The sequence below is a fragment of the Homo sapiens genome, chromosome 1 (genome assembly GCF_000001405.40).
Source record: "Homo sapiens chromosome 1, GRCh38.p14 Primary Assembly".
Lineage (NCBI taxonomy): Eukaryota > Metazoa > Chordata > Mammalia > Primates > Hominidae > Homo > Homo sapiens.
In genome coordinates this window covers 161,376,730-161,403,805 of record NC_000001.11, presented here as the reverse complement: position 1 = coordinate 161,403,805, position 27,076 = coordinate 161,376,730, and the positions used below count along the sequence as shown (strand labels likewise).

Below are 27,076 nucleotides of genomic sequence, written 5' to 3'. Positions count from 1 at the left end.
AATCACCTCATTTATAAATAAGGTAAATCTCTTCACTTAATTAGTTCTCAACTTGCCCTTGAATAATTTTAAGTGTTTCTCAATACAAAGGTTATGTGCATTTATTCTGTGTCTTGTTCTTAGACATGTTATGATTTTGTTCTATCATGAATGATATGTTATTTTCTCATATTTTCTAGGTGACTACTGCTGATGTGGTGGAAATTTCTGATTTTTTAATGTTGACTTTGTAGCCAGCAATCTTATTGAACTATTTTATTCATTCTAATAGTTTACTAATAATTCTGCTTCATTTTCTATGTAGCTAATCAAAACAAATGTGCCTCTTTGAGAAACTATATAGCACCAAGGTTAAAAGGTGAAATCTGGAAGCCATAAAAACTAGTTTCAAAACTGTAGTTAATTCCTCTACTTCCTTTCCAGATTACAAATTTAATATCCAATTTTCTTGCCTGAGACTAGACTCCTCTACTGAAGACTCATTTTATAACATTCCTTATCTTCCCATCATCACCAGCCCATCTACAACACAAAGGAAGAAATCCTTTGCCCTATTGCCTCCTGCTGCCATAAAATTATATATTATGGGATAGCAGAGTCTTTTTTTTTTTTTTTTTTTTTTTTTTTGAGACAGAGTCTTGCTTTGTCACCCAAGCTGGGGTGCAGTGGCGCCATCTTGGCTCACTACAACCTCCGCCTCCCGGGTTCAAGCAATTCTCATGCCTCAGCCTCGGAGTAGCTGGGATTACAGGTACCCGCCACTATGCCCAGCTAATTTTTGTATTTTTAGTAGAGACAGGGTTTCATCATGTTGCTCAGGCTGGTCTCGAACTCCTAACCTCAGGTGATCCGCCCAGCTCAGCCTCCCAAAGTGCTGTGATTACAGGCATGAGCCACTGCGCCCAGCCTCAGAATCTCAAGAAGGAGAATGTGGTAGAAGATACTGAGCAATGGGATAGTAAAGAGTTGGGGACAGAGTTAAGTTTTATAAGGAATTAGGGATACGAGAAGCTCTAAGAGCCAAGATTTGGGTTATTCAATTCAGAATGGGGAAGGAACCTCAGCTTCATGATGGTAAAAAATTCCACCACCTTTGCCCAGAAAAAAGTGATTCACATCCTGATATCACTGTGTACTCAGGGAAATAGCTCCCCACAAGGCATTGCATTAGGGAGAAACTATGGTGAGGAACAGTGATGAGCAGGGCATGAAGAGTGATTGTCCTAAGCCAGATGTGATGTCATGAGGGTGAACTCCAGGACCTCCTGTCCTTCAGGACGGTCCCACAGTCTCACTGACCACTGAGGCCAGATGCATAAAAGCTTTGCCTTCCCAGAGACTGATCGGGGAAAAGGTACTGGCACAGCCTCTTCAGTTCCTGGCATGGAAGGGCAGAGACTAGCCCACATTGAAAGTGGCCTCTTTCAGTGTAGGGATGATGGGAGGATCCTTGTGTCCTGGGCTACCCTAGGTCTCATCTGATCTTGCATAGTGAAAGCTACTCATGGGAGAACTCCGTTAGCCGGGAAGCCCTTAGAATGGAATCTTTCCTAACATTGACTCCAGTTTCTGGAAGTATATGCCATTCTTCTCCATTCTCTGTAGCACTGTGGGCTTACCCTCTGAAGAGAATGTTTGTTGGTTGCCACCTCAGCATTACAACATCCCATTCCCTTCTTAAGGGTACCCTAAATTTGTCAGCCATAGAGTTTGAGTAGGATTAGTCTTACCCCAGACCTCAGGAGTAGGCCCTAATGATTTAAACGAAGCAGCATATCCCATCCCTGTTACATGACAATGAGTTCTCCAAGAAGTACACACTTTTTTCTGCTGGCTGTGAACACAGGAACCTGTAGCCCAAGCTGCTTACGGTGGGCACTTTGAAAACATGAGTAGAGAGCCTGCCCCAGAATGGAGTCCACATTGAAGAAGAAGGACCAAGAGAAACCAGATACTTCTTTATTATTATTACTAATTGAGATGGAGTCTCACTCTGTTGCCCGGGCTGGAGTGCAGTGGTGCAATCTCGGCTCACTGCAGCCTCCACCGCCTGGGTTCAAGCAATTCTCATGCCTCAGCCTCCCACGTAGCTGGGACTACAGGTGTGCACCACTATGCACGGCTAATTATTTTGTATTTTTAGTAATACCAGGCTGGTCTTGGATTTTTGACCTCAGGTGATCTGCCTGCCTCTATCTCCCAAAGTGCTGGGATTACAGGCGTGAGCCACCGCGCCTGGCCCAGAGACTTCTTTGAGCCTTGTGTGAAGACTTACCTGAAGCCCAGATCTACCTAGGATTGTGAGGCAATATTTTCCCTTTATTATTTAAGCCAATTTTTTGATAAAGTTCCTTAACCTGATAAACTATTATCTGTCTAGCATTCAGTCCATTGGACATTTCTTTAAAAAAAAAAAAAGGAACAGTTCATGAATTTGTACATCAGCCTTGCACAGGGGCCATGTTAATTTTCTCTGTATTATTCCAATGTTAGCATATGTGCTGCCGAAGTGAGCACCATTGAACATCTCTGATGTCTTTCTACATTCTGCACAGCCTCAACCTGTAACCAGGTGCTTCTCTTCTGCTCTCTCACTACCACCCCCAACTCTTTAACTCTCCTCCTTTGCTTATTCATCCCACAATCCACCTTCTCCTCTAGATTCTTGCCAGATTAGAGCTCCTGGCGCAGTCAGCCAACATTGTTCCATGCTAGCCCCTGGACATTTGTATCATACAACAGCACGTAAGTCTTCACTGCTGCCTTGGTAATTCTCTCATCCTTCTCTTCTTAATTTTCTTCTCCTTTTTTTTTTTTTTTTTTGACGAAGTTTTGCTCTTTCATCCAGTCTGGAGTGTAATGGCGCGATCTCGGCTCACTGCAACCTGAGCCTCCCGGGTTCAAGCTATTCTCCTGCCTCAGCCTCCCGGGTAGCTGGGATTACAGGCGCGCGCCACCACGCCCAGATAATTTTTGTATTTTTAGTAGAAATGGCGTTTCACCATGTTAGCCAGGCTGGTCTGGAACTCCTGATCCTAGGTGAGATCCGCCCGCCTCGGACTCCCAAAGTGCTGGGATTACAGGCATGAGCCACCGCGCCCGGCCTCTTCTTAATTTTCCAAAGCTTTTGTCATATGGCATCCCTAAACCATCTCCTCTTCCTACCTCCTCAGATAATTTCACCCGCAGCAGTGGAAAAGATGAAGTCATTCGACATCAGCTGTCACTCTACACAGCTATCTTGGGGTTCTACCTACAGCGGTATCTTGAGTCCCTCCAGGAATACTCTTCACGGTCTCTTTCCTCTTCATTTGTTTCCTCCGACAATAATAAGGTGTAGTCCCACTAAGCGAGATACAGCCTGAGAACATCAGGGTCGCAGACTCTCCTTAACGTTAAGTAGCGCTTCCATCTTACCCAAGTCCAATTTACCTAGCTTCAGTCTCTTCATCTTTAAAACACGTTTAATAATTTGCTCGTGGCACTGTTGCAAAACTAGTTAAACTCGAGAATGTGAAAATGCTTCTAAATTCAGTGCTGGGCAAACATAAGGCGTATTTTGTTCCAAATATGAGCTGGTTTCCCTTGACCCGGCCAAGTCTGTCCCCTAGGTCTCTTCTACTCCGTTTTTCTCCAGTTTCCGGGGGGGTGGCTCTCAGTGACCGCGGTGGCCTGGCCCCAGGGCGTCCACGCTCCCCGCCAAGCGTTCCTTAGGGACCCGACAGGATCAGGAAAACTCCACGACGAGCATTCGGGGACGCCTGGAGCCCTGCCCAACTATCTCCGGGCTCTGGCTGCAGCCCTGACTGCGCCGGAAGTTTCCTGAGGAAGCACCATGGAGTTCACCCCTGTGCCCTCAGTCATGACCCCGCCGCGAGCAGCCCGGGACTTACCTGCTTTGCTGGCTACTTCCCTGCGCGCCCCGATCCCGAAGCTGTGGGTGGCCCGCCCGGGTACTTTTCTCGTGGGTCAGAGACACAGTGGTGAGCCTCTGACTTTTCAGAGTCATTTGTGGAAAACCTGCCACCGCCTGGTTTCCGTAGTGTAGTGGTTATCACGTTCGCCTCACACGCGAAAGGTCCCCGGTTCGAAACCGGGCGGAAACAAAGTGGTTCCCGTTTTTGTTTTTTTCCTTCCCCATATCCTTTCGAATTCTACGTAAGAATTCGCCCAGATCGCAGTGAGATCCCGGAACTCTAGGTCCGAGGAGAGTTGGAAGGACTGAAGGGCAGACCCCAGCAGCCGAGCGGCTCTCGACAACGGGCTCGGAGCCGGCGGCGCCCCTGGCGGCTGTGGGCGACTGGGTCCCTCCGGAGCCGTGAGACCTTTTGATATCATCAGGCACCGTGTCGCGGTTCCGCCCTGTCAGTTTTTGTGTCTTTTCTGACACCCAGAAGGAACTTCGGACACACTGGGAACCGGAAATGGCTGCTCAGTGAATGAAGTCGTCACTTCCGACCCGGACCCCTGAGGAGCAAGTTGTAGTTCAGGGCCTAGTCCTGAACGGCCGGTCCTTTTTTCAGACCCTGCTCAGGCTCTGGCTCTGGCTCCGGCTCCGGCCTCTTCGGCCGAGACTGCGATGGGTCGGTTTCCTCCACATAGTTTACAAACCTGTATACAGATCCAAGAGTGCGCTGGTGATTATCTCGCTTTGCGCTGATTGCCGGTATCATTAACTCAGTAGTCCAGAGGAACGAAACGAACGTGGTGACGGAGCGGGGATCACAACTCGCTCTGCTCTGTCACCCCCCCAAACTTGTCTTTACTGTGTTTATTTTCTCATTTGTCACCATCCAGTTCTCAGTCACGAAAATGTTAGTTCTTTCTCTTTCCTTTCAAGATTTTTAGGTTCTAAATCAGGTGGAAAGAATGTACATTTTTAATTAAAAGATTTTCACAATTCTCCTAAAAGGAGGACAAACAATTTGAACAGACACTTGATTAAAAAAAAGATATATGGGGCTGGGCGCGGTGGCTCACGCCTGTAATCCCAGCACTTTGGGAGGCTGAGGTGGGTGGATCACGAGGTCAGGGTGTTCCAGACCAGCCTGACCAAGATGGTGAAACCCCGTCTCCACTAAAAATATAAAAATTAGCTGGGCGTGGTGGCGGGTGCCTGTAATCCCAGCTATTCAGGAGGCTGAGGCAGGAGAATTGCTTGAACCAGGGAGGCGGAGGTTGCAGTGAGCTGAGATCGCGCCACTGCACTCCAGCCTGGGCTACAGAGCGAGACTCCATCTCAAAAAAAAAAAAAAGATATGTGGATTGCAAATAATCACATGGAAAGATGTCCAACGTCATTAATCATTAGGGAAACGCAAATTTAAAACACAATGAGATACCACTACACACATATCAGAATGTCTAAAATTTAAAAGACTGACCATACCAAGTTGGCAAGGATGTGGAGAAACCGGAACACTCATTCACTGCTGTTGGGAATGTAAAATGGTACATTCACTTTGGAAAACAGTTTGGGGGTTTTTAAAAGCGTTAAACTACTACAATATGACTCAGCCATTCCACTCCTAGGTATTTACCAAGAGTAAATAGAGCATATGCCCATACAAACGCCTGTACACAAACATTCATAGCAGCTCTATTTGTAATAGCCCCAAACTGTAGACTATCCAAATGTCAATCAACAAGTGAAAGACCGATCCATACAATGGAATGTTACTCAGCCAAAAAAAGGACGGAACTGCTCACATATACAACAACATGAATCTCAAGTATGCTGAGTAAAAAAAGCCACTGCACCCAGCCTCCATTACAGCATTTTGAATTTAAAATAAAACATTTTTTGGCCAGGCGCGGTGTTTCACGCCTTTAATCCCAGCACTCTGGGAGGCTGAGGTGAGCGGATCGCTTGAGCCCAGGAATTTGAGACCAGCCTGGCCAACATGGCGAAACCCCGTCTCTACTAAAACTATAACAATTACCCGGGCGTGGTGGCCTGCGCCTGTAATCCCAGCTACTCCGGAGGCTGAGGCTTGAGACTCGCTTGAGCCTGAGAGGCGAAGGTTGTAGTGAGCGGAGATCCAGACTGGGCAACAGAGAGAATCTGTCTCAAAAAAAAAAAAAAAGTAGGCCCTATGAACTGTGCCTAACGTGTAAATCAGACCCGAATTGCGGTGATAATTTCCCAGGTGTATACACGTGTCAAAACTTGTACATTTTAAGTATGTTCAGTTTATTGTATGTCAGCTAAGCCTTAACATAGCTATGATTGTAGCAGGACAAGCCACAGACAAGAACCCCTCAGACACCGAGTTGTAGAAAGGGCTTTTTTCAGCTGGGAGCATCGGTGGACTCACGTCTCCAAAAACCGAGCTCCCCAAGTGAGCAATTCCTATCCTTTTTAAGGGCTTACAGCTCTAAGGGGGTCCGTGTGAGAGGGTCGTGATAGATTGAGAAAGCAGGGGGTACGTGACTGGGGGCTGCATGCACCGGTAATCAGAACGGAATAGAACTGGACAGGGATTTTCACGATGCTTTTCCATACAATGTCTGAAATCTATAGATAACACAAGCAGTTAGGTCAGGGGCTGATGTTTAACTACCAGGCGCAGGCGCAGAGCTGGGCTATCTGCCTGTGGATTCCATTTCTGCCTTTTAGTTTTTACTTCTTCTTTCTGTGGAGGTAGAAATTGGGCATAAGACAATATAAGGGGTGGTCTCCTCCCTTATTATAATTTCTTAGTATTTCCCAGAAAAAATAAAAAAGCCCAAATATTTGAAGGCTGTTTGGACTATTCATATAAAATACATGTCGACCATCCCAAATCTGAAAATCTGAAATCCAAAATATTCCAAAATCCTAACCTTTTTGGGTGCTGACAGGATGATCAAAGGAAATGCTCATTGGAGCACTTTGGATTACAGATTTTCAGATTTGAGATACTCAACTAGGGTGGGTATAATGCAAATATTCCAAAATCTGAAAAAAATCAAAATTTGAAACAATTCTGGTCCCAAGTATTTTAGATAAAGGATACTCAACCTGTACTTTTTTTTTTTTTTTTTTTTTGAGACAGAGTTTCGCTCTTGTCATCCAGGCTGGAGTGCAATGGCGTGATCTCGGCTCACTGCAACCTTGCTTCCCGAGTTCAAGCAATTCTCCTGCCTCAGCGTCCCAAGTACCTGGGATTACAGGCGCCCACCACCACACCCGGCTAATTTTTGTATTTTTAGTAAAGATGGGGTTTCGCCATGTTGGCCAGGCTGGTCTCAAACTACTGACCTCAGGAGATCCACCCGCCTCGGCCTCCCAAAGTGCTGGGGATTACAGGCGTGAGCCACCGCACCTGGCCAACCTGTACATATTTTTAAGGCTTTTTTTTTCTTTTTTTTAGACAGGGTCTTGCTTTGTCACCCAGGCTGCAGTGGCTAAATAATTTCTTTCTACCTCCTGTATCAGGACTACAGGCATGCACCAACAGGGCCTGCTCTCTCTGTCTCTCTTTCTCTCTCTCTCTCTCTCTCTCTATATATATATATATATATACTTTTTTTTTTTTTTTTTTGGTTTGGATATGGAGTCTTGCTCTGTCACCCAGGCTGGAGTACCATTGATCTCGGCTCACTGCAACCTCTGCCTCCTAGGATTACAGGTGCCCACCACCTCGCCTGGCTATTTTTTGCATTTTTAGTAGAGACGAGGTTTTGCCATGTTGGCCAGGCTGGTCTCAAACTTCTGACCTCAGGTGATCAACCCACCTTGGCCTCCCAAAGTGCTAGGATTACAGGCGTGAGCCACCACACCCGGCCGGGCCTGCTAATGTATAATTTTTAAAAATTAAAAATTAATTTAAACAGCTAAAGTTTAATTTTTAAACTTTTTTTGGTAGAAAGTGAGTCTCACTAAATTGCCTAGCTGGCCTTGAACTCTTGGCCTTAAGAGATCCTCAGGCTTTGACCTCCCAAAGTGCTGAGATTATAAGCATGAACCACCACACCCAGCCTTAAATTTTTCTTTAATCAAAAATTTTGTATGGCCAGGTGCAGTGGCTCATGCCTGTAATCCCAGCACTTTGGGAGGCCAAGGTGGGCTGATCACCTGAGGTCAGGAGTTCAAGACCAGCCTGGTCCAACATAGTGAAACCCTGTTTCTACTAAAAACACAAAAATTAGCAGGGGATGGTGTTGGGCAGCTGTAATCCGAGCTACTCAGCAGGCTGAGGCAGGAGAATCGCTTGAACCTGGGAGGCAGAGGTTGCAGTGAGCTGTGATCGTGCCACTGCACTGCAGCCTAGGTGACAGACCGAGACTCTGTCTCAAAAAAAAAAATTTTTTTTTTGTATGGATAGGTGTGGTGGTTTATTCCTGTAATTCTAGCACTTTGGGAGGCTGAGGCAAGAGGATGGCTTGAGCCCAGGCGGTCTGATCACTTGAGCCCAGGAGTTCAAGACTAGCCTGGGCAACATGGCAAAACCCAGGCTCTACCAAAAACAGAAAAATTATCCAGATGTGGTGGCTCATACCTGTGGTCCTAGCTACTTGGGAGGCTGAGTTGGGAGGATTGCTTGAGCCTGGAGGCAGAAGTTTCAGTGAGCCATGATCGTGCTGATACAGGAGATAGAAATTATTTAGGAGATAGTGAGGGCAGAAGAGTCCTCAGTAGAATTTCTTTGCTAACAAAAAAGCAGCCCCCAAAATCATTTCTAAGAAAGAGCAGCCTGAAAAATTGAGCTGCAAACATAGGTAAGCAAGCTGGAAGCTTGCATGGGGGAATGCTGGCAGCTGTGCCAATAGAAAAGGGGTAACTGGGGGCCAGGCATGTCCACCATGGAGGCTCCATCTTCCCTTTTTTTGTTACCACATGTACAGTAATAAAGAAATGGGCAACATGGTGCAGCTCAGGCAGTGAACCTGCCTGCATAATCAAAGATTGGGGTGGAGGAGGCCAGAGATTCCCATAGTATACAAATAGCACACCTGGTCAGACCAGTTTTTTGCATGCTATGTAGATCAGACTCTGCCTCCCACCAGCTCATCTAAAAACCCCCTGAATTTCACCACGGGTCTGGCAACCCATTTTTCCAGGACCCCTTTCTGCAGCAGAGAGCTATTCTCTTTCTTTCGTCTATTAAACTTCCACTCTCAACCTCACTCTTTGTGTGTCTGCATCCTTATTCTTGGTGGCTGTGAGACAACGAACCTCGGATGTTACTCCAGATAACAAGGCCGTTTCAGTGCCACTGCACTCCAGCCTGGGCAACAGAGTGACACCCTGTCTCAAACAAAAAACAAATCCCTGTCTTCATAGAGTTTACATCCTAGTTTGTGAGGCAGATAATAAGATAAAATATATGGTTTGTGTGATATTGTGAAGAAGTATACATTTGGTCTTTGTCCTTAGTTCCTAACACAGATCTAAAACACTTGTAATTTCCTGAGTAATAGGGGTGAGAGGAGTGTCTTTTGTTATCCATAGTAAGCCCCTTCCAAGCACACCTGAGTTTATACTAATGAGGTGATTCCTAGAAGATGGGGGCCAGTTTCCAGAGAAACCAACCAGATGATCAGAGGGCTGGAACTTTCAGCTCCATCGCCAACCTCTGGGGAGGAGAAAGGGGCTGGAGATTGACTCCAATGGTCAATGATTTCATCAATTCTGTCTAAGTAATGGAACCTATGTTCAAACCCTAAACAACAGGGTTCCAAGAGTTTCTGGCTTAGTGAACACACTGTGGTGCTGGGAAGATGGCAAGCCTAAATAGAGCATGGATGCTCCAAGCCCTCACCCATACTTGCCCTCGGTGCATCTTCCATTTGGCTGTCCATCTGTAAACTTTGTCATATTCTTTATTTTTTTATTATTATTATTGCAGACAGAGTCTCACTCGTTTTCCAGGCTGGAGTGCAGTGGCACGATTTCAGCTCACTGCAACCTCCACCTCCTCAGTTCAGGCGATTCTCTCAGCCTCCCCAGTAGCTGGGATTACAGCGCCTGCCACTACACCCAGCCAATTTTTGTATTTTTAGTAGAGATGGAGTTTCATCATGTTGGCCAGGCTGGTCTTGAACTCCTGACCTCTCAGGTGATCCACCCACCTCAGCCTCCCAAAGTGCTGGGATTACAAGCATGAGCCACTGCGCCCGGCCTTGTCATATTCTTTATAATAAACCGGTAAATGTAAGTAAATGTCTCCCTGAGTTTGTGAGCCATTATGGCAAATTATCAAACAAGAGGAGGGTGTTGGGAAAGCCCCAGTTGATAGCCAATTGGTGAGAAGTACAGATGAGAATCTGGAACTTGTGATTGACATCTGAAGTTAGGAGCAGTCTTGTGAGCCTGAGTCCTTAACCTGTGGGAACTTCATTAATTCCAGGTAATTAGTGCCAGACTTGAGTTAGATGGGAGGACACACAATTGGTGACCATTGAGAACTGGAGAATTGCTTGGTGTGGAAAACCCACACATTTGATGTCAAAAGTGTGTGGGCAGAGGAAACAGTTTTTATTTAGTATGTCAGATGTGACAAGTGCTAAAGAGAAATAAAGAGGGAAACAGAAGATGAAATATCTGGGTGTCTTTGTATGTGGAATTTTAGATAGTGTGGCCAAGGCAGGCCCCCTGAGAAGTAACTTTTGTGTTAAGACCTAAAGGAAGTGAGGGAACTAGCCATGTAGACTATCTAGAGGACAAGCTTCCAGGCTGAGGGGCTACAAAGTGCAAAGGTTCTGTGGCAGCAGCAAGCTGTTGTGTCCCAGAAACAGCAAAAACCAGTGTAGCCAGATCAGAGTAAGCTAGGAGGAGGTGAAGGGTCTTGTGGAACACAGCAAGGATTTTGGCTTTCACTTTGCATGATGGGATCCTGGGGAAATGCATTTCCCTGCAAGTACAACAGGGAGAGTTAGGGCAGGGAATGGATCTCAGAGCAAGAAATATAAATGTGGTACATGTGGTTTCACTGGGGCTTCTTGATGGTATGGGAGAGGGAAACTACAGCCAAAGAGCAGCAAGAAAGGAATAACTACAGTTCCCGTGGTGGCCCTGCTTTCTCCTCTGTTCTGATCCCAAAGTGGTTGATTCCTTCCCCTCACCCTTGTCTCAGACCAACCACTCTAGCACTCCTAGTTTACCCATTCCATTAGCTCCTTTATAAGCAGACACCAGCAACATGAGGCAGTAGGGGAAGAAAAGGATAGGACAAATTCCTCGGAGCTCTGTGGATCTTGAAAAGAGTCCATCCCTGTTGGTCAGAATATTTCAGGACTTTACGGAGAGCACAGTGAAATAGTAAGAGTGATGGGCCTGTGCCACCCAGTCGGGCCAGGATCTTCTGAAGTCTGATCCTAGCCAGGTGCACTGGGGCACACCTGTAGTCCCAAAGACTTGGGAGAATGAAATGGGAGGATCACTTGAGCCCAGGAGTTTGAAGCTGCTGTGAGCTATGATTGCGGCACTGCATTCCATCCATGGGTGACAGAGTGAAACTCCATATCAAAAAATATACACAAAAAACAAAGTCTGATCCTTGCTAGGATACAAGAGGGAAATCCAGCGGCAGATAGACAGGCCTTATTTATGAAAACAAACAAGACCATGGCATCCCATGGAATTTCTAAGGTACATTTTATAATGGGACCCCTTGAGATTTTACCACACCAGCATTTTTAGTGACTGAAAGGATGAAAATTCTGATCAGGCCCTTGCTTGCTTGCACTTGTGTTTTGCCCAATATTCCTTCTATAATATAATTATAAACTGCTGATGTACTGTTTTCTTTGTCAAGCAAAAGAATATAACTTCAGGGTCTTGAAAAAAAAATTGCAGAAGGAACAGGCATAGTGGCTCATGCCTGTAATCCCAGCACTTCGGGAGGCGGAGGCAGGCAGATTACTTGAGGTCATGAGTTCGAGACAACCTTGGCCAACATAGTGAAACATCATCTCTACCAAAAAAAAACAAAAAACAAAAATTAGCTGGGTGATACGTGCCTGTAGTCCCAGTTATTCAGGAGGCTGAGGTGGCAGAATCGCTTGAACCTGGGAGACGGAGGTTACAGTGAGCTGAGATCATGTCACTGCAGTCCAGCCTGGGCAATAGAGTGAGACCCTGTCTCAAAAAAAAAAAAAAAAAAAAGCAGAAGATTCGGATGAATTACTTTAAGGATGTTATGTCCAATTGCTGATGCCCAGAAGTCTGGTTGTTCAAGGCATTATCGGAGACTGAAGAAACATAGACTTTTCCCCTCAGGTCTCTGAAACTCCCCCTCCTTTACTCTCCAGCTGCATAAAAACTCCCCACTTCGGGCCAGGCACAGTGGCTCAAGCCTGTAATCCCAGCACTTTGGGAGGCCGAGGCCGGCAGATCACCTGAGGTCAGGAGTCTGAGAACAGCCTGGCCAACATGGTGAAACCCTGTCTCTACTAAACATACAAAAATTAGCCAGGCGTAGTGGTGCACACTGTAATCCCAGCTACTAGGGAGGCTGAGGCAGGAGAATCACTTGAACCTGCAGCCTCGACGTTCCAGGCTCAAGGGATTCTCCCACCTCAGCCTCCTGAGTAGCTGCGACCACAGGCGACTGCCACCACACCCAGCTAATTTTATTTTATTTTGTAGTGACAAGTCTTATTATATGCCCAGGCTGGAAATTCATCTTTTAATTCCCATAGGTGAGCCCTCTGCCAAAACAGTAGTAAAAAGCTGGAAGTACTTTAAAGCCCAGCTGTAGAAAGAGTTTTAAATCACTCATTTTGCATGTCATCCTGCTCTTGGACAGATTCAAGACTTACTGCTAACTGAAAAGATGGGTGAAGAGTAGTGTGTAGTGTGGGGTTTTTGAGTAAGGGGAAAATGGAGGAAATATATTTATGCATATTAATATATATACATGTATGGGAACCTCCCACACGAGCGGGTTCCCAAAATATTAGGAAAAATAACAATAAAAATAATGCAAATACAAACAACACAGTATAACTACATTGTATTAGGTATTACAAGTAATCCATAGCTGATTTAAAGTGTGTGGGAGGATGTGCGTAGTTGTAGGTAAATACTATGCCATTTTATAGGAGGGACTTCAGCATCCGCAGATTTTAGTATGGGGTGCTTGCTGTCCTGGAGCTAATCTGCCTGCGGATACCGAGGGACGACTGGAGATCATCTAGGAAGGGCACGCAAAAACCCTAACAGTGGTTGCTTCGGGGAAAGAGAATGGGGGAACTCAGGGTAGGGATGCAAAAGAGACTTGCCGCCGCGAATCACGCCGAGGTGCCCCGCATCCAGCCCTGTGCTCCCGCCCCGGTCCAGGCGCGCTGCCAGGCAGAGTCCCTTGCCCAGCCCCAGAGAAGGCAGCCCATCTCCTGGGCACCGATCCTGAACGTCGGCCAACCTTGCAGGCCTAGCGAAGACCCCAAATTCGACGCGGCAGGCCTGAGGCCTGGGGAAAAAGTGACCCGAATTTCCCGCAATCTCAAGGACACCCAGGGGCGCTCCAGCCCCTCACAGCCCTCCTCCCTCATTCACTCTCACGCCTCGCCTCGCCTCCGGCTCCGGCCTCTCCGCGCCCAGTCACTCCCACGCCCCGTCACTCCCACGCCCCGCCCCTCCTCTCACCCGCGTAGTGCTCTCAGTCTCTCTTGCGCCCCGCCCTTCTGCCCTGCGTCACTCGTGAGCCCCGCCCCTCCTCTCGTCCCGCCCCCCTCTCGTCCCGCCCCTCCTCTCGTCCCTCCCCTCCGCTCGCCCCTCCCCTCCTCTCGTCCCGCCCCGCCCTTCTGCCCTTCGTCACTCGTGAGCCCCGCCCCTCCTCTCGCCGCGCCCCGCCCCACGGCTCGCAGAGGTCCGGAGCTTTCCCGTCAGCAATGAGTCAAGACCGGAAGTCTGGGAAAGGGTGCTCTCAGTTCCCGACAGCGGGGGCTGGACAAGACGGAGACGGTACTGGCAATACGTCGGTTGAAGGGAAGCGGAGCGGAGCACGCGCGGGCTGTGACGAGGGAGCGGAGAAACAGCTGTCCCGTTAGCCTCGTGTTGACGTCCCGGGTTCAGCCCCAGGAGGACGAAAAGACTGTGCCGTGTCCTTCCCGAGGGGAGTGGCGTTCCCATTGACCTGCATACCTCACCTCATACTCGTGCGTGGACGTGTTCCAGCCAAGTCCCGTTCACTCCAGCTCCTCCGTCTCCACCCTAATCCTAATTATTGGTGTTTCGTTTGAAAGGGTTCTGTGAATTTGTCAAGCAGGAAAATTTGGGGTCCGACAGAATTAAGCAATTCTCTTTAATTAAATAGCTTGCGGAGTCTTTAATTTGTTAATATGCATTTTTCTAATCGTAACTAACTTTTGCTTTACATTTACTTTTTTTTTTGAGACGGAGTTTGGCTCTTGGCTCTTGTTGCCCAGCCTGGAGTGCAATGGCGCGATCTCCGCTCACTGCAACCTCCGCCTCCCAGGTGCAAGCGATTCTCCTGGCTCAGCCTCCCGAGTAGCTGGGATTTCAGGCATGTGCCACCACGCCCAGCTAATTTTGTATTTTTAGTAGAGATGGGGGTTTCTCCGTGTTGGTCAGGCTGGTCTGGAACTCCCGACCTCAGGTGATCCACCCGCCTCGGCCTCCCAAAGTGCTGGAATTAAGGCGTGAGCCACCACCGTGCGTGGCCTGCTTTACATTTACTTTCTGTAAGGCTAAGTAATTTACAGTGTCATCTAATCCTTTTAATAATCTTATGAAGTAACCATTATCAAGATATTACAGATGAAGAAATAAAATTGTAGAGACATGCCCAAGATCCCCTTATATTAAGTGACGGAGCTAAATCCAAACCCAAATCATTTATACTGATTGCCCGCAAATCCCTTTTTACACTGGTGCATCACTTGAAACCAGTCCTACAAAGAATGTGCTTTTATCTTGGAGTCCTTGGAGAGGTAAACTGAGGTTCGAACCAAATAAAGGAACATGAGCCCCGGCCCTACCATGGAAGGGGTGGATTGCCTAGCTTCTTCTGGCCACAAGGTGAGGCAGTGAGGAAACTGCAGGAGGCTGGGTTTGGGGTCCCAGCAGTACTTCCTGCTGCCTTGAACAAATGCAGCTGCTCACTTTTACACCCCTTGCAGAACACTCCCCAAATATACCAGTGAAACCCTGAAGGCAAGGCCAGTGCTGGAAGGAATCTAAGCCTCCTGCTCCTGAGGGAAAGGATTTTATTTATTTATTTTTATTTTATTTTTGAGACGGAGTCTGGCTCTGTCGCCCAGGCTGGAGTGCAGTGGTGCTATCTCGGCTCACTGCAACCTCCGCCTCCCCTCCCGGGTTCAAGAGATTCTCCTGCCTCAGCTTCCAGAGTAGCTGGGATTACAGGCGCACGCCACCACACCCGGCTAATTTTTGTATTTTTGGTAGAGACGGGTTTCACCATGTTGGTCAGGCTGGTCTCGAACTCCTGACCTCATGATCCGCTCACCTGGGCCTCTGAAAGTGCTAGGATTACAGGCCTGAGCACCGCGCCCGGCCAGGAATGGATTTTAAAACCCTTAGGAGGCCGGGCACCGTGGCTCACGCCTGTAATCCCAGCACTTTGGGAAGCCGAGGCGGGCGGATCACGAGGTCAGGAGATCGAGACCATCCCGGCTAACACGGTGAAACCCCGTATCTACTAAAAATATTAAAAATTAGCTAGGCATGGTGGCGTTCGCCTGTAGTCCCAGCTATTCGGGAGGCTGAGCCAGGAGAATGGCATGAACCCGGGAGGGGAGGCGGAGCTGGCAGTGAGCCGATATCACACCACTGTACTCCAACCTGGGTGCGACACTCTGTCTCAAAAAAAATATAAATATAAATATAAATAAATAAATAAAAACCCTTAGGAGTAGGTGGTGAGAACTTCACCCAGCCCTATCAGGAGTTGGGGGTATGGAGAGAGGAATGGATTTTGAACAGATTTGACTCCCATCTCCTTCTAAGGGAAGATACATAGACAAGAATAAATGTCTTTTGTAGAAGTCTGGGAATAAGACAAGGAAGCCCACTGGGCAGGGACTTGGCAACTAGAGGCAAATAGAATGGTATGAGACCACGGACTTGAGAAGTTCATGTTAGGATGATACTCCAAAAGGCCCAGCAGAAAAAAGCTGCACCTTGCTCAGCACAGGGTACCCAGGGACAAGGCCAGTCCAACACATCGGAGAGCATTAGGGTGCCAGAGTCCAGCCACAGGGACCTGAGGTTGCCTCCGTTTTCTGCTACCTCTAGGTCATTGGTTGCTCCACCTTCACCAAGATGCTACCTCGGGGAAGATAAGGGAGTGTTCCAATTACCTATTGGTGTGTAACAAACCACTCCAAACTTACTGGTACAAAACAGCAACCAGTTTATTATGTCATGGATTCTGTGGGTCAAGAATTCGGAAAGGGTATAGTGGGGATGACTTGTCTCTGCTTCAGAATCACTGAGACTTCAGCTGAGAAGACTTGGAAGCCTGAGATGACTTAAAAGCTTGGGGCTGGAATCATTTGGAGTTGCTCATTCACATATGTAAAAGGTAAACTAAGGCACAAAAAAAAAATTTTAAGAGCTCATTTGACCAGCCGGGTGCTGTGGCTCATGCCTGTAATCCCAGCACTTTGGGAGGCCGAGTCGGGTGGATCACGAGGTCAGGATTTGAGACCAGTCTGGCCAACATAATGAAACCCCGTCTCTACTAAAAATACAAAAAATTAGCCAGGCGTGGTGGCACGCGCCTGTAATCCCAGCTACTTGGGAGGCTGAGGCAGGAGAAATGTGTGACTGGGGAGGCAGAGGTTGCAGTGAGCCGAGATCGCACCACTGCACTCCAGCCCAGGTGACAGTGCGAGACTCCATCTCAAAAAAAAAAAAAATAGAGTTCATTTGAATAGGAAGCAATTAATGAATTGGGAAATACCAAACCAAAAGAAGTTTAATTTTCTCATGACAAATCATCAGGGGCAAGTATTTATGGGGTAAATGTGGAGCAAAATAAATAATTTGATTGATTGCAATTTTACAGTTGCCTTATTCATTCATTCACCTTCTTGGAAAGTCCCTAGTTATATAAGTTTTTGGCTACTTCCAATTGGTTGAGCTTAAGTTTTGTTTTTCTTTAATACAGGCATTTACAAGAAATGGCTCAACATAAGTTTCCCTTGTGTTTGTAAATCAAGGTTGAGGTCACTTATGAGGCCTAACTGGTTTTGTCTGCTCAGAGATTCTTCAGGCCTGGTCTCCATTTTAATTTACTTCAACATATGTCTGAGGTTATGCTGGCTGTTGGCTGGGATCTCGGCTAGGATTGTCAGCAGGAACACCTACGTGGTTTCTCCATGAGGTTGCTCTGCTTCCTCATATCCAAGGTGGCTGGATTCTGAGTGACTCCTAAGACAATCAAGTGGAAGATGTATAACCTTTTTTGACCTTGCATCACTTCCACCTTACCTACAGGCCCACCCAAGTTCAAGAGGAAGGAATACAGACTCCACCTCTTAATGGGAGGAGTGTCACACTAAAGAAGAGCATGTGGTGTGGAATATCTTGTTACAACTCTCTTGAAAAAAGTACAACCTGGCTGGGCGCCATAGCTCACGCCTGTAATCCCAGCACTTTGGGAGGCCGAGGCAGGCGGATCACCTGAGGTCAGGAGTTCAAGACCAGCCTGACCAACATGGAGAAACCCCATCTCTACTAAAAATACAAAATTAGCTGGGTGTGGTGGCGCAGCTAACGTGGCTCCCAGCTACTTGGGAGGCTGAGGCAGGAGAATCGCCTGAACCCAGGAGGTGGAGGTTGCAGTGAGCCGAGATTGCACCACTGCACTCCAGCCTGGGCAACAAGAGGGAAACTCCCTCTTAAAAAAAAAAAAAGAAAAGAAAAATACAACCTGCCACAGCCATTAAATTTCAAAGTGGTTATACAGAAATAGATAACCAGGACTTAGTGCTATGGGGGTTTACTTAGTTCACCTAGGTAACTGCTTGGTATTGTTCGATTTGCTACAATGAAATCTGCTAGTATTCCTTCTCTAATTAAAAAAATAACTTTAGGCTGGGAGTGGTGGCTCATGCCTGTAATCCCAGCACTTTGGGAGGCCGAGTCAAGCAGATCACTTGAGCCCAGGAGTTCGAGACAAGCCTGGGCGACATGGTGAAACCCTGTCTCTATAAAAAATACAAAAATTAGCTGGGCATGGTGGTGCAAGCCTGTGGGCCTAGCTGCTCGGGAGGCTGAGATTGGAGGATCACCTGAGCCTGGGGAGGTCGAGGCTATAATGAGCTTCGATCTTGCCACTGCACTCCAGCCTGGGTGACAGAGTGAGATCCTGTATCAAAAAAAAAAAAAGTGTTTAAAAATAAATAACTTTAAAAGAAGACACCTGAAATTGTGGCCAGACCTAGATTCTCATTCTGATTCCAATATTAACTGATTATGACCTTGGGCAAATCAAGTTCTCAATATCTCAATTTAAAAATGTTTCTAAGTGAGATAAAATAATTTAAATATTCTCTTACAGTAGCTGGAAAAGGCAAACAAAAGCAACATTGTATATTACATGCAGTTTTGCAAAATTTGGGCTCAAGTTCCTTGAGATGCTTACAAAAAATAAATTCAGTGGCTAAATAAACTGAGGAAATGCTGTATATTATATCCCTCTCCCACTCTTGAAGAGTCTCAGTAAACATTAGGAAATTAAACAGGCCGGGCGCGGTGGCTCACGCCTGCAATCCCAGCACTTTGGGAAGCCGAGGCGGGTGGATCACATGAGGTCAGGAGTTTGAGACCAGCCTGACCAACATGGAGAAACCCCGTCTCTACTAAAAATACAAAATTAGCTGGGTGTGGTGGCACATGCCTGTAATCCCAGCTACTAGGGAGGCTGAGGCAGGAGAATCGCTTGAACCTGGGAGGCGGAGGTTGCGGTGAGCCGAGTACTCCAGCCTGGGTAACAAGGCTGCACTCCAGCCTGGGTAACAAGAGCAAAACTCCGTCTCAAAAAAAAGAAAAGAAATTAAACATCTGAGCATTCCCGTAGGAAATAAATTTATTCAATTTGTTTAACCAATCAAATTAGATGAAGGCTAGAGATTTCAGATTTCAGGGTCTGGACTTTTGGGAACAGGCTGGTGTGGGGGTTTGCCAGACTACCTGAGTTTGGTAACTGGTTCTACAACTTACTGTGTGTTCTTGGAGAAGTTACTTAACTTTCCTAAGCTTCAATTTTTTCATATGCAAAATGTGCTATTATTATTCTAGTTTTACATTTGGTTGTTGCAAAAATAAGTTAAACCTTTTTGGTTACATTTTAATTTAATCACTACTATAATGATGATGCGACTACCAACACTGATCTAGATAGACTGTAGTCCAGCTTCTTTTTTTAGTTTTTTAATTTGATCTAGACTTTTTAGGAAATTACTCTGTGCAAGATTTCTGACAAAAGACAAGGGAGAGGGTAAAATTTAGAGTAGTTTGGGAGGTCGAGGCGGGCAGATCACTTGAGGTCAGGAGTTCAAGACCAGCCTGGCCAACATGGTGAAACCCCATCTCTACTAAAATACAAAAATTAGCTGGGCATGGTGGTGCACACCTGTAATCTCAGCTACTCGGGAGGTTGAGGCATGAGAATTGCTTGAACCCAGGAGGCAGAGGTTGCAGTGACCTGAGATCATGGCACTGCACTCCAGCCTGGGCAACAGAGCAAAACTCTGTCTCAAAAAAAAAAAAAAAAAGAGAGACACAAGATCTCATCCTGGCATCAGTCACTGGTATCTCCTTTCATTACTCCTTGGCAGTCCTCAGTAAGTGTCATATTGCTTTTTTTCCCAATTTTTTTTATTGTGGTAACATTATATAACATAAAATTTATCATCCTAACCATTTGTGAGTGTACAGCTCAGTGGTATTAAATACATTCATATTGTTTTGCAACCATCACCGTTATCCATTTCCAGAACTCTTTTCATTTTGCAAAACTGTAATTCTGTACTCATTAAGCAATAACTCCCGATCACCCCTCCCCTCAGCTCCTGGCAGCCACTCTTCTAATTTCTGTTCTATGATTTGGCTACTCAAAGTACCTGATATCAGTGGAATCATACAGCATTTGTCCTTTCATGACTAGCTTATTTCACTGAGCATAATGTCCTCAAGTTTCATCCATGTTCTGGCATGTGTCAGAATTTCCTGCCTTTTCAAGTCTAAATAACATTCCATTATTTTTCACATTACCTTTTGTTACTTTAGGAATCATGGTCTGGGGGCTGGCCTTTAGCAACCAATATGTTTGGGGAGAGAGATATCTTCCTCAATGGCCTATCTTCTTTGTTGATGGATTCCTAGAGAATTATGCTACATTTTGCATCCAGGAAGGGTCACCACACCTAATTAGCCCACTTTTTTCCTCCAGAATTTTAATGTGTCTGAAAATTCACCTCTTAAAGGAGGAAGTGAAGGCAAGAGAAAGAAAGATGTGGGAATTGGCAGAAATAATAATTCTTCAAATGAGTCCCTTCCTAGACAGCATTCTCAAGCTAGGTATGCAAAAGAGCAGGACCACAGAGCTGCATTAAGGAATTAGATTTTATAGGATCAGAAAACAATCTTAGGAAACTGGGCCATTTTTAGTCTTCATTTCTTTTTGTGTTCTTATCAAAAATTGTAAAGGGGGTGGAAGATACATGCTGAGGTGGCAACCAACAAACATTCTCTTCAGAGGGTAAGACCACAGTGCTACAGAGAATGGAGAAAAATGTCATATACTTCCACAAACCAGAGTCAATGTTAGGAAAGATTTCACTCTAACGGCTTCCCTGCTAAGGGAGTTCTTCCATGAGTAGCTTTCACTGTGCAAGATCAGATGAGACCTAGGGTAGCCCAGGACACAAGGATCCTCCCATAATCCCCCAAGGGGCCACTTTCAATGTGGGCTAGTCTCTGCCCGTCCCTGCCAGGAACTGAAGAGGCTGTGCCAGTACCTTTTCCCCTGATCAGTCTCTGGGAAGGCAAAGCTTTTCTGCATCTGCCCTCAGTGGTTAGTGAGACTGTGGGATCGTCCTGAAGGACAGGAGGTCCTGGAGTTCACCCTCATGACATCATATCTGGCTTAGGACCATCACTCTTCATGTCCTGCTCATCGCTGTTCCTCACCATAGTTTCTCCCTAATGCAATGCCTTGTGGGGAGCTATTTCCCTGAGTACACAGTGATATCAGGATGTGAATCACCTTTTTCTGGGCAGAGGTGGTGGAATTTTTTACCATCATGAAGCTGAGGTTCCTTGCCCATTCTGAGTTGAATAACCCAAATCTTGGCTCTTAGAGCTTCTCATATCCCTAATTCCTTATAAAACTTAACTCTGTCCCCAGCTCTTTACTATCCCATTGCTCAGTATCTTCTACCACGTCCTCCTTCTCAAGACTCTGATACCTAAAATATACAATTTTACAGCAGCAGGAGGAAATAGGCAAAGGATATTTTCCTTTGTGGTGCTGGGTGTTGGGGATTAGTTGTAAAACTAGTCTCCACTAGAGGGAGACTTAATCTCAAGAAAGAAAACAATATGATCTGTGTCAAGTTGAGAGGAAGCAGAGGTATTAACTGTTTATATAGCTTTTGTATTATAGCCAACTATCTCTTCTTTAAAAATCTTTTTGTTGTAAAAATGAAGAGAATTTATTTATTTATTTTAGAAATTTTTAAAATTTTGTTTTATAACTATGTAAAATACTTGGGTTTCAAAATAAACGCTATAAAACAAGGCATATTTAAATAAGTTTATCATCTACCTCCACACCTTCCATATCACTCCTTCTCTCTCCCTAAAGGTAATCACTTGATTTTTAGTAGAGATGAGGTCTCATTTATGTTGCCCAGCTAGTCTGGAAGTTCTGACCTCAAGTGATCCTCCTGAAGTGCTGGGATTACAGGCATAAGCACCGCAGCCGGCCATGGTATTTCCTTCTCTATGAAATGTTTGTTTAATCTGTAGCTCAGCTTCCTTTTTCTTTTTCTTTTTTTTTGAGATGGTCTTGCTCTGTCGCCCAGTCTGGAGTGCAGTGGCTCGATCTCAGCTCACTGCAACTTCTGCCTTCTGGGTTCAAGTGATTCTCCTGCCTCAGCTTCCCGAGTAGCTGGGATTACAGGCGCGCGCCACCAAGCCCAGCTAATTTTTGTATTTTTAGTAGAGACGAGGTTTCTCCATGTTGGTCAGGCTGGTCTCAAACTCCTGACTTCAGGTGATCCATCCGCCTCGGCCTCCCAAAGTGCTGGGATTACAGGCGTGAGCCACCGTGCCTGGCCCCTTCTTCTTTTTGTAATGAAAAACAAACAAAAAAGCACACTTGGCCAGGCCCAGCACTTTGGGAGGCCGAGGCGGGCAGATCACGAGGTTAAGAGATCGAGACCATCCTGGCCTACCTGGTGAAACCCCGTCTCTACTAAAAATACAAAAATTAGCTGGGCGTGGTGGTGCGCACCTGTAGTCCCAGCTGCTTGGGACTCTGAGGCAGGAAAATCACTTGAACCCGGAAGACGGAGGTTGCAGTGAGCCAAGATGGAGCCACTGCACTCCAGCCTGGCAACAGAGCGAGACTCCGTCTCAAAAAACAAACAAAAAAACAAAAACACACACACATACACAAAACAACCCTCTTTTACTGAGGAGTATACATACAAACAGACAACCACTAAGAGTCCCTCACACTTTCTTTTTTTTTTTTTTTTTTTTTTTTTTTTTTGAGACTGAGTCTCACTCTGTCACCCAGGCTGGAGGGCAGTGGCGAGATCTCAGCTCACTGCAACCTCTGCCGCCTGCGTTCAAGCGATTCTCCTGCCTCAGGCTCCCGAGTAGCTGGGATTACAGCCGTCTGCCACTGCACCTGGCTAATTTTTGCTGTTTTAGTAGAGACGGGGTTTCACCATCTTGGCCAGGCTGGTCTTGAACTCCTGACCTCGTGATCAGACCGCCTCGGCCTCCCAAAGTGCTGGGATTACAGGTGTGAGCCACCACACCTGGCCCCCTCACATTTTCATGTACTGACAAAACTATTCCATCTTTTTTTTTTTTTTTTTTTTGACAGTGTTTCAGTCTTGTTGCCCAAGCTGGAGTGCAATGACACGATCTTGGCTCACTGCAAACTCCACCTCCCAGGCTCAAGCAATTCTCCTGCCTCAGCCTCCCAAGTAGCTGGGATTACAGGTATATGCCACCATGCCCAGCTACTTTTTGTATTTTTAGTAGAGAAAGGGTTTCCCATGTTGGCCAGGCTGGTCTCGAACTCCTGACCTCAGGTGATCCGCCCATCTCAGCCTCCCAAAGTGCTGGGATTACAGGCATGAAACACCACACCCGGCCTAAAATAAATTTTTAGGACAGATCAGGCTGGCCCCATTTTCTAGCCCAGTTTTTTACAGAGCTATTAGTCTTTTTCTTCCCTATTTTTAGAAGTTTTTCCTGAATCAAATATATTACTCCTTTGTAATGTAATTTATAAATTTCTTTTCCCATTAGTCTTTTTACTTTTTTTTGTTATTATGTAAAATTTATCAATTTGCATCTATGGGGATAATCAAACATTTTTTCCACCTTAGATCAATTAATATGGTGGATTATATTAATAGATTTCCTAATATTATATGTTCTTGCATTTTTGGAATATTATCCAGTTGGTCATGATAAATATTTTTTAACATGCTGTTGGATTCACTTTGCTAATGTTTTATATATATGTATCAATATTAATACAAAAGTGAAATTGATCTATAATGGTTTTTTTTGTTACAGTCTTTGTCACGATTCTAAAATTGAGGTTTGGAAATCAATGTTATACTTACTTTGCAAGATGATTTTGGGGGTTTTCCCTTTTTTGTCATAGTCTAAAATAGTTTTAAAAATTAAAGATTTGTTTTTTAAAGTTTGGTAGAATCATCTGTAAAACGATCTGGGCCTGCTTTGTTTTGTAGGGGAACTCCTTAACTAGTTTCTATGATTATTTTATGTTACTTGGCCGGTTTAAATTTGCTGTCTCTATAGGGGCAAATTTTGTTAAATTGGATTTTCTAAAAAAATCCATTTAATGTAGATTTTAAAATATTTTTACAAGAATATTTTTCAAATTTCTTCTTTTGTGTCACTTTATTTCCAGTTTCATGGATTTGTGCTTTCCTTAGCTAGGAAATTATCAAAATTATTTTTACAAAGAAACAGTTTTGGATTCTTTAATTAATATAATGCTACCATTGTTATTGTTATTGTTGTTGTTTTCAAACCCATTAACTTCTGCCTTTATTTTTACTAATTTCTTATTTTTGTGTCATTCGGTTTACCCTGGGTTTTGTGTATAATATTTTGAGTTGGATTGTTATTTATTTTTACTTATATAGGTATTTAATGCTATAAACCTTTCCCTCATAGCTGTTTTTGCTGTTTCCCATAAATTCTGGGGGTTTTCATTGCTATTTTCAAAAACTTCTCCCGCGCCACCACCATGCTCTCGGTCCGCGTCCGGATCACTTCCATCGCTGACCCACAGCAACAGCAGCTCTTGCTGCTGAAGGTTCTCAGTCTGGCCAACAAGGAGAACACGCCCTCGACCCTGAGCGGAACTCGCATCCTGGCCAGCAAGGCGGCGAGGAGGATCTTCCAGGAACCAGCGGAGCCGAAAACTAAAATAGCTGCTCCTGGCGTGGAGGATGAACCACTGCTGAGAGAAGACCCCGCCACTTTATCATCTTCCCCAACGAGTACCATGATATTTGGCAGATGTATAAGAAGGCGGAGGCTTCCTTAAACCGAGGAGACCGAGGAGAGTGATTTTATATCCCGTGTTCTGGCTTTCTTTGCAGCAAGTGATGGCATAGTAAATGAAAACTTGGTGGAGCGATTTAGCCAAGAAGTTCAGATTACAGAAGCCCGCTGTTTCTATGACTTCCAAATTGCCATGGAAAACACACATTCTGAAATGTATAGTCTCCTTATTGACACTTACATAAAAGATGCCAAAGAAAGGGAATTTCTCTTCAACACCATTGAAACACCTTGTGTCAAGAAGGCAAATTGGGCCTTGAGTTGTATTGGGGACAAAGAGGCTACCTATGGTGAATGTGTTGTAGCCTTTGCTGCAGTGGAAGATATCTTCTTTTTTTTTCTTTTTTTTTTTTTTTTTGAGACGGACTTTCGCTCTTGTTGCCCAGGCTGGAGTGCAATGGCGCGATCTCCGCTCACTGCAACCTCCGCCTCCCGAGTTCAAGCGATTCTCCTGCCTCAGCCTCCCGAGGAGCTGGGATTACAAGAATGCGCCACCACACCCAGCTAGTTTTTGTATTTTTAGTAGAGACTGGGTTTCTCTATGTTGGTCAGGCTAGTCTCAAACTCCTGACCTCAGGTGATCCACCCACCTCAGCCCCCCAAAGTGCTGGGATTACAGGCTTGAGCCGCCGCGTCCGGCCATTAACAGCATCTTTAAAACTGTGTAGCTACCTCACGACCAGGCCTGTTTATTTATAATGCTGGTGGTATCACCTTTTGCCAGCAGGCTGGCTGGCTGTGACTTACCATAGCAGTGACAGCAGCAGTCTTGGCTTTAAAGTGAGGGGTGACTCTCTAGTGAGCTTGGCCCAGCAGGATTAAACATTCACTTAACTAGCACAGGCAGTTGAAAGATGCAGCCTCCCTACTTCAAAGCAGATTTTGTTTACTTAAATATAAAACTGGCACTTTACAAACATTGTTTGTACTATCAAGGTAATAATAGCTTGATTTATTTGGTTTCTACACCAAAGTATTCTGCTGACCACTAATTGGAGCCAATTCAAAATTCACTAAGTAACTAAAGTAAGTTAAACTTGTGTAGACTAAGCATATAATTTCTAAATTTTATTTTCTTGAATGAATTAAAATATTCCTTAATCAACTTTAAAGTCAATCCTGTATATAGCTAGATATTAGTCTGTTGGTGCCAGATAGAAGACAGGTAGTGTTTTTTATCCTGTGGCCTGGGGAGTGTCCTGGGATTCTCTGTCCTATCTGAGTAGAGTGTTGTGGATTAAGGAATCTCTCACGGCAAAGACAGATGAGAAATTTAGGCATGATCTGGGCCTTCATATGTGTGAGAAGCCATATCATTTTATTTCTCACTATATTTTCCCCAACTTCTAGTTGATAAGAAAAAATTATTGAAGAGTTTTTATATGTGGGGACTACAGTGGCATTGTAAAATTTCAAGTCATCCTTAAACAAAATGACCCACCTAAGATCTTGCTCCTGTTAGGTGGTGAAATCAACTGGAGTTGGTTCCTAAAAGTTGTTTATTCTAGTCTTGTTTAAGTAGGTTGTGTGAGTTAATAGTTAATTCATTTACATTTACTATATGGCCCTTTTTTTTTTTTTAATAGAGTCTCGCTCTGTTGCCCAGGCTGGAGTGCAGTTGTGAGATCTTGGCTCACTGCAACCTCTGCGTCCCGGGCTCAAGCCATTCTCCTGCCTCAGCCTTCCGAGTAAGTGGGATTACAGGGCCCACCGTGGTGGTGGGCTAATTTTTGTATTTTTAGTAGAGACGGGGTTTCACCATGTTGGCCAGACTGATCTCGAACTCCTGACCTCAGGTGACCCGCCCCCCTTGGCCTTCCAAAGTGCTGGGATTACATGTATGAGTCACCACGCCCGGCCTACATGTCTTTGAAATTAGAAAATATTTTTTAGGCTGGGTACAGGCTTGAGCCACTGCACCTGGCAAACTAATATTCTTAATAGGGCTAGTTTGAATTAATCTGCCTTTATGTTTGGGAAAAAGAAAGCTGAGACACTACATGAAAGATGATGCAGGATATGTGTTGATCTTTTGGCCCCATTTGTTAATTTTATTATCTATTTGAACATTGTCCTGTTCTATTTTTAGTTTTCCTAATCATTTATTATATAGTCAATTTTAAAATTTCTGTAATATGAGATTTTCTATCTTTTATTGTTACCTAAATAAACCCAGATTATATGGTCCTTACACTTGTGCAACATTAAAATGAATAAAGGCTTTGCCTTGCATTGTCAGAAAAACAAAAACAAACCCCTGCAATTTATTTTGCATTTCCCCCTTGACCCAGGAGTGGTTTAACACGTTCT

The 27,076-nt window shown here is 45.2% G+C and overlaps 1 long non-coding RNA gene, 1 other non-coding gene and 2 pseudogenes across 2 annotated transcripts, besides 6 other annotated features; 2 read left to right on the top strand and 2 right to left on the bottom strand.

Annotated features, from left to right (window-relative positions):
- On the bottom strand, positions 2,411-2,517 carry RNU6-481P (RNA, U6 small nuclear 481, pseudogene; annotated as a pseudogene).
- Positions 3,274-3,873: an enhancer, noted in NCBI's record as "H3K27ac hESC enhancer chr1:161369723-161370322 (GRCh37/hg19 assembly coordinates)". NCBI's record gives its function as "activates a minimal SCP1, AML or CMV promoter by ChIP-STARR-seq in primed H9 embryonic stem cells {active_cell/tissue: H9 hESC(primed)}" and the evidence as "EXISTENCE:reporter gene assay evidence [ECO:0000049][PMID:30033119]".
- Positions 3,874-4,473: an enhancer, noted in NCBI's record as "H3K27ac hESC enhancer chr1:161369123-161369722 (GRCh37/hg19 assembly coordinates)". NCBI's record gives its function as "activates a minimal SCP1, AML or CMV promoter by ChIP-STARR-seq in primed H9 embryonic stem cells {active_cell/tissue: H9 hESC(primed)}" and the evidence as "EXISTENCE:reporter gene assay evidence [ECO:0000049][PMID:30033119]".
- Positions 4,034-4,106, top strand: TRV-CAC1-1 (tRNA-Val (anticodon CAC) 1-1). Its single transcript has one exon. It is a non-coding gene; the product is annotated as a tRNA-Val (tRNA).
- Positions 4,061-4,140: a silencer, noted in NCBI's record as "silent region_1478". NCBI's record gives its function as "represses an Ori minimal core promoter by ATAC-STARR-seq in GM12878 lymphoblastoid cells {active_cell/tissue: GM12878}" and the evidence as "EXISTENCE:reporter gene assay evidence [ECO:0000049][PMID:35858748]".
- Positions 4,481-4,620: an enhancer, noted in NCBI's record as "active region_1990". NCBI's record gives its function as "activates an Ori minimal core promoter by ATAC-STARR-seq in GM12878 lymphoblastoid cells {active_cell/tissue: GM12878}" and the evidence as "EXISTENCE:reporter gene assay evidence [ECO:0000049][PMID:35858748]".
- Positions 13,525-13,744: a silencer, noted in NCBI's record as "silent region_1477". NCBI's record gives its function as "represses an Ori minimal core promoter by ATAC-STARR-seq in GM12878 lymphoblastoid cells {active_cell/tissue: GM12878}" and the evidence as "EXISTENCE:reporter gene assay evidence [ECO:0000049][PMID:35858748]".
- Positions 13,925-14,124: an enhancer, noted in NCBI's record as "active region_1989". NCBI's record gives its function as "activates an Ori minimal core promoter by ATAC-STARR-seq in GM12878 lymphoblastoid cells {active_cell/tissue: GM12878}" and the evidence as "EXISTENCE:reporter gene assay evidence [ECO:0000049][PMID:35858748]".
- Positions 16,299-18,406, bottom strand: LOC124904443 (uncharacterized). Its single transcript, XR_007066693.1, has 2 exons — positions 18,208-18,406; positions 16,299-17,344 (listed from the first exon to the last, which is right to left on the bottom strand). It is a non-coding gene; the product is annotated as an uncharacterized LOC124904443 (long non-coding RNA).
- RRM2P2 (ribonucleotide reductase M2 polypeptide pseudogene 2) lies at positions 24,436-27,005 on the top strand (annotated as a pseudogene).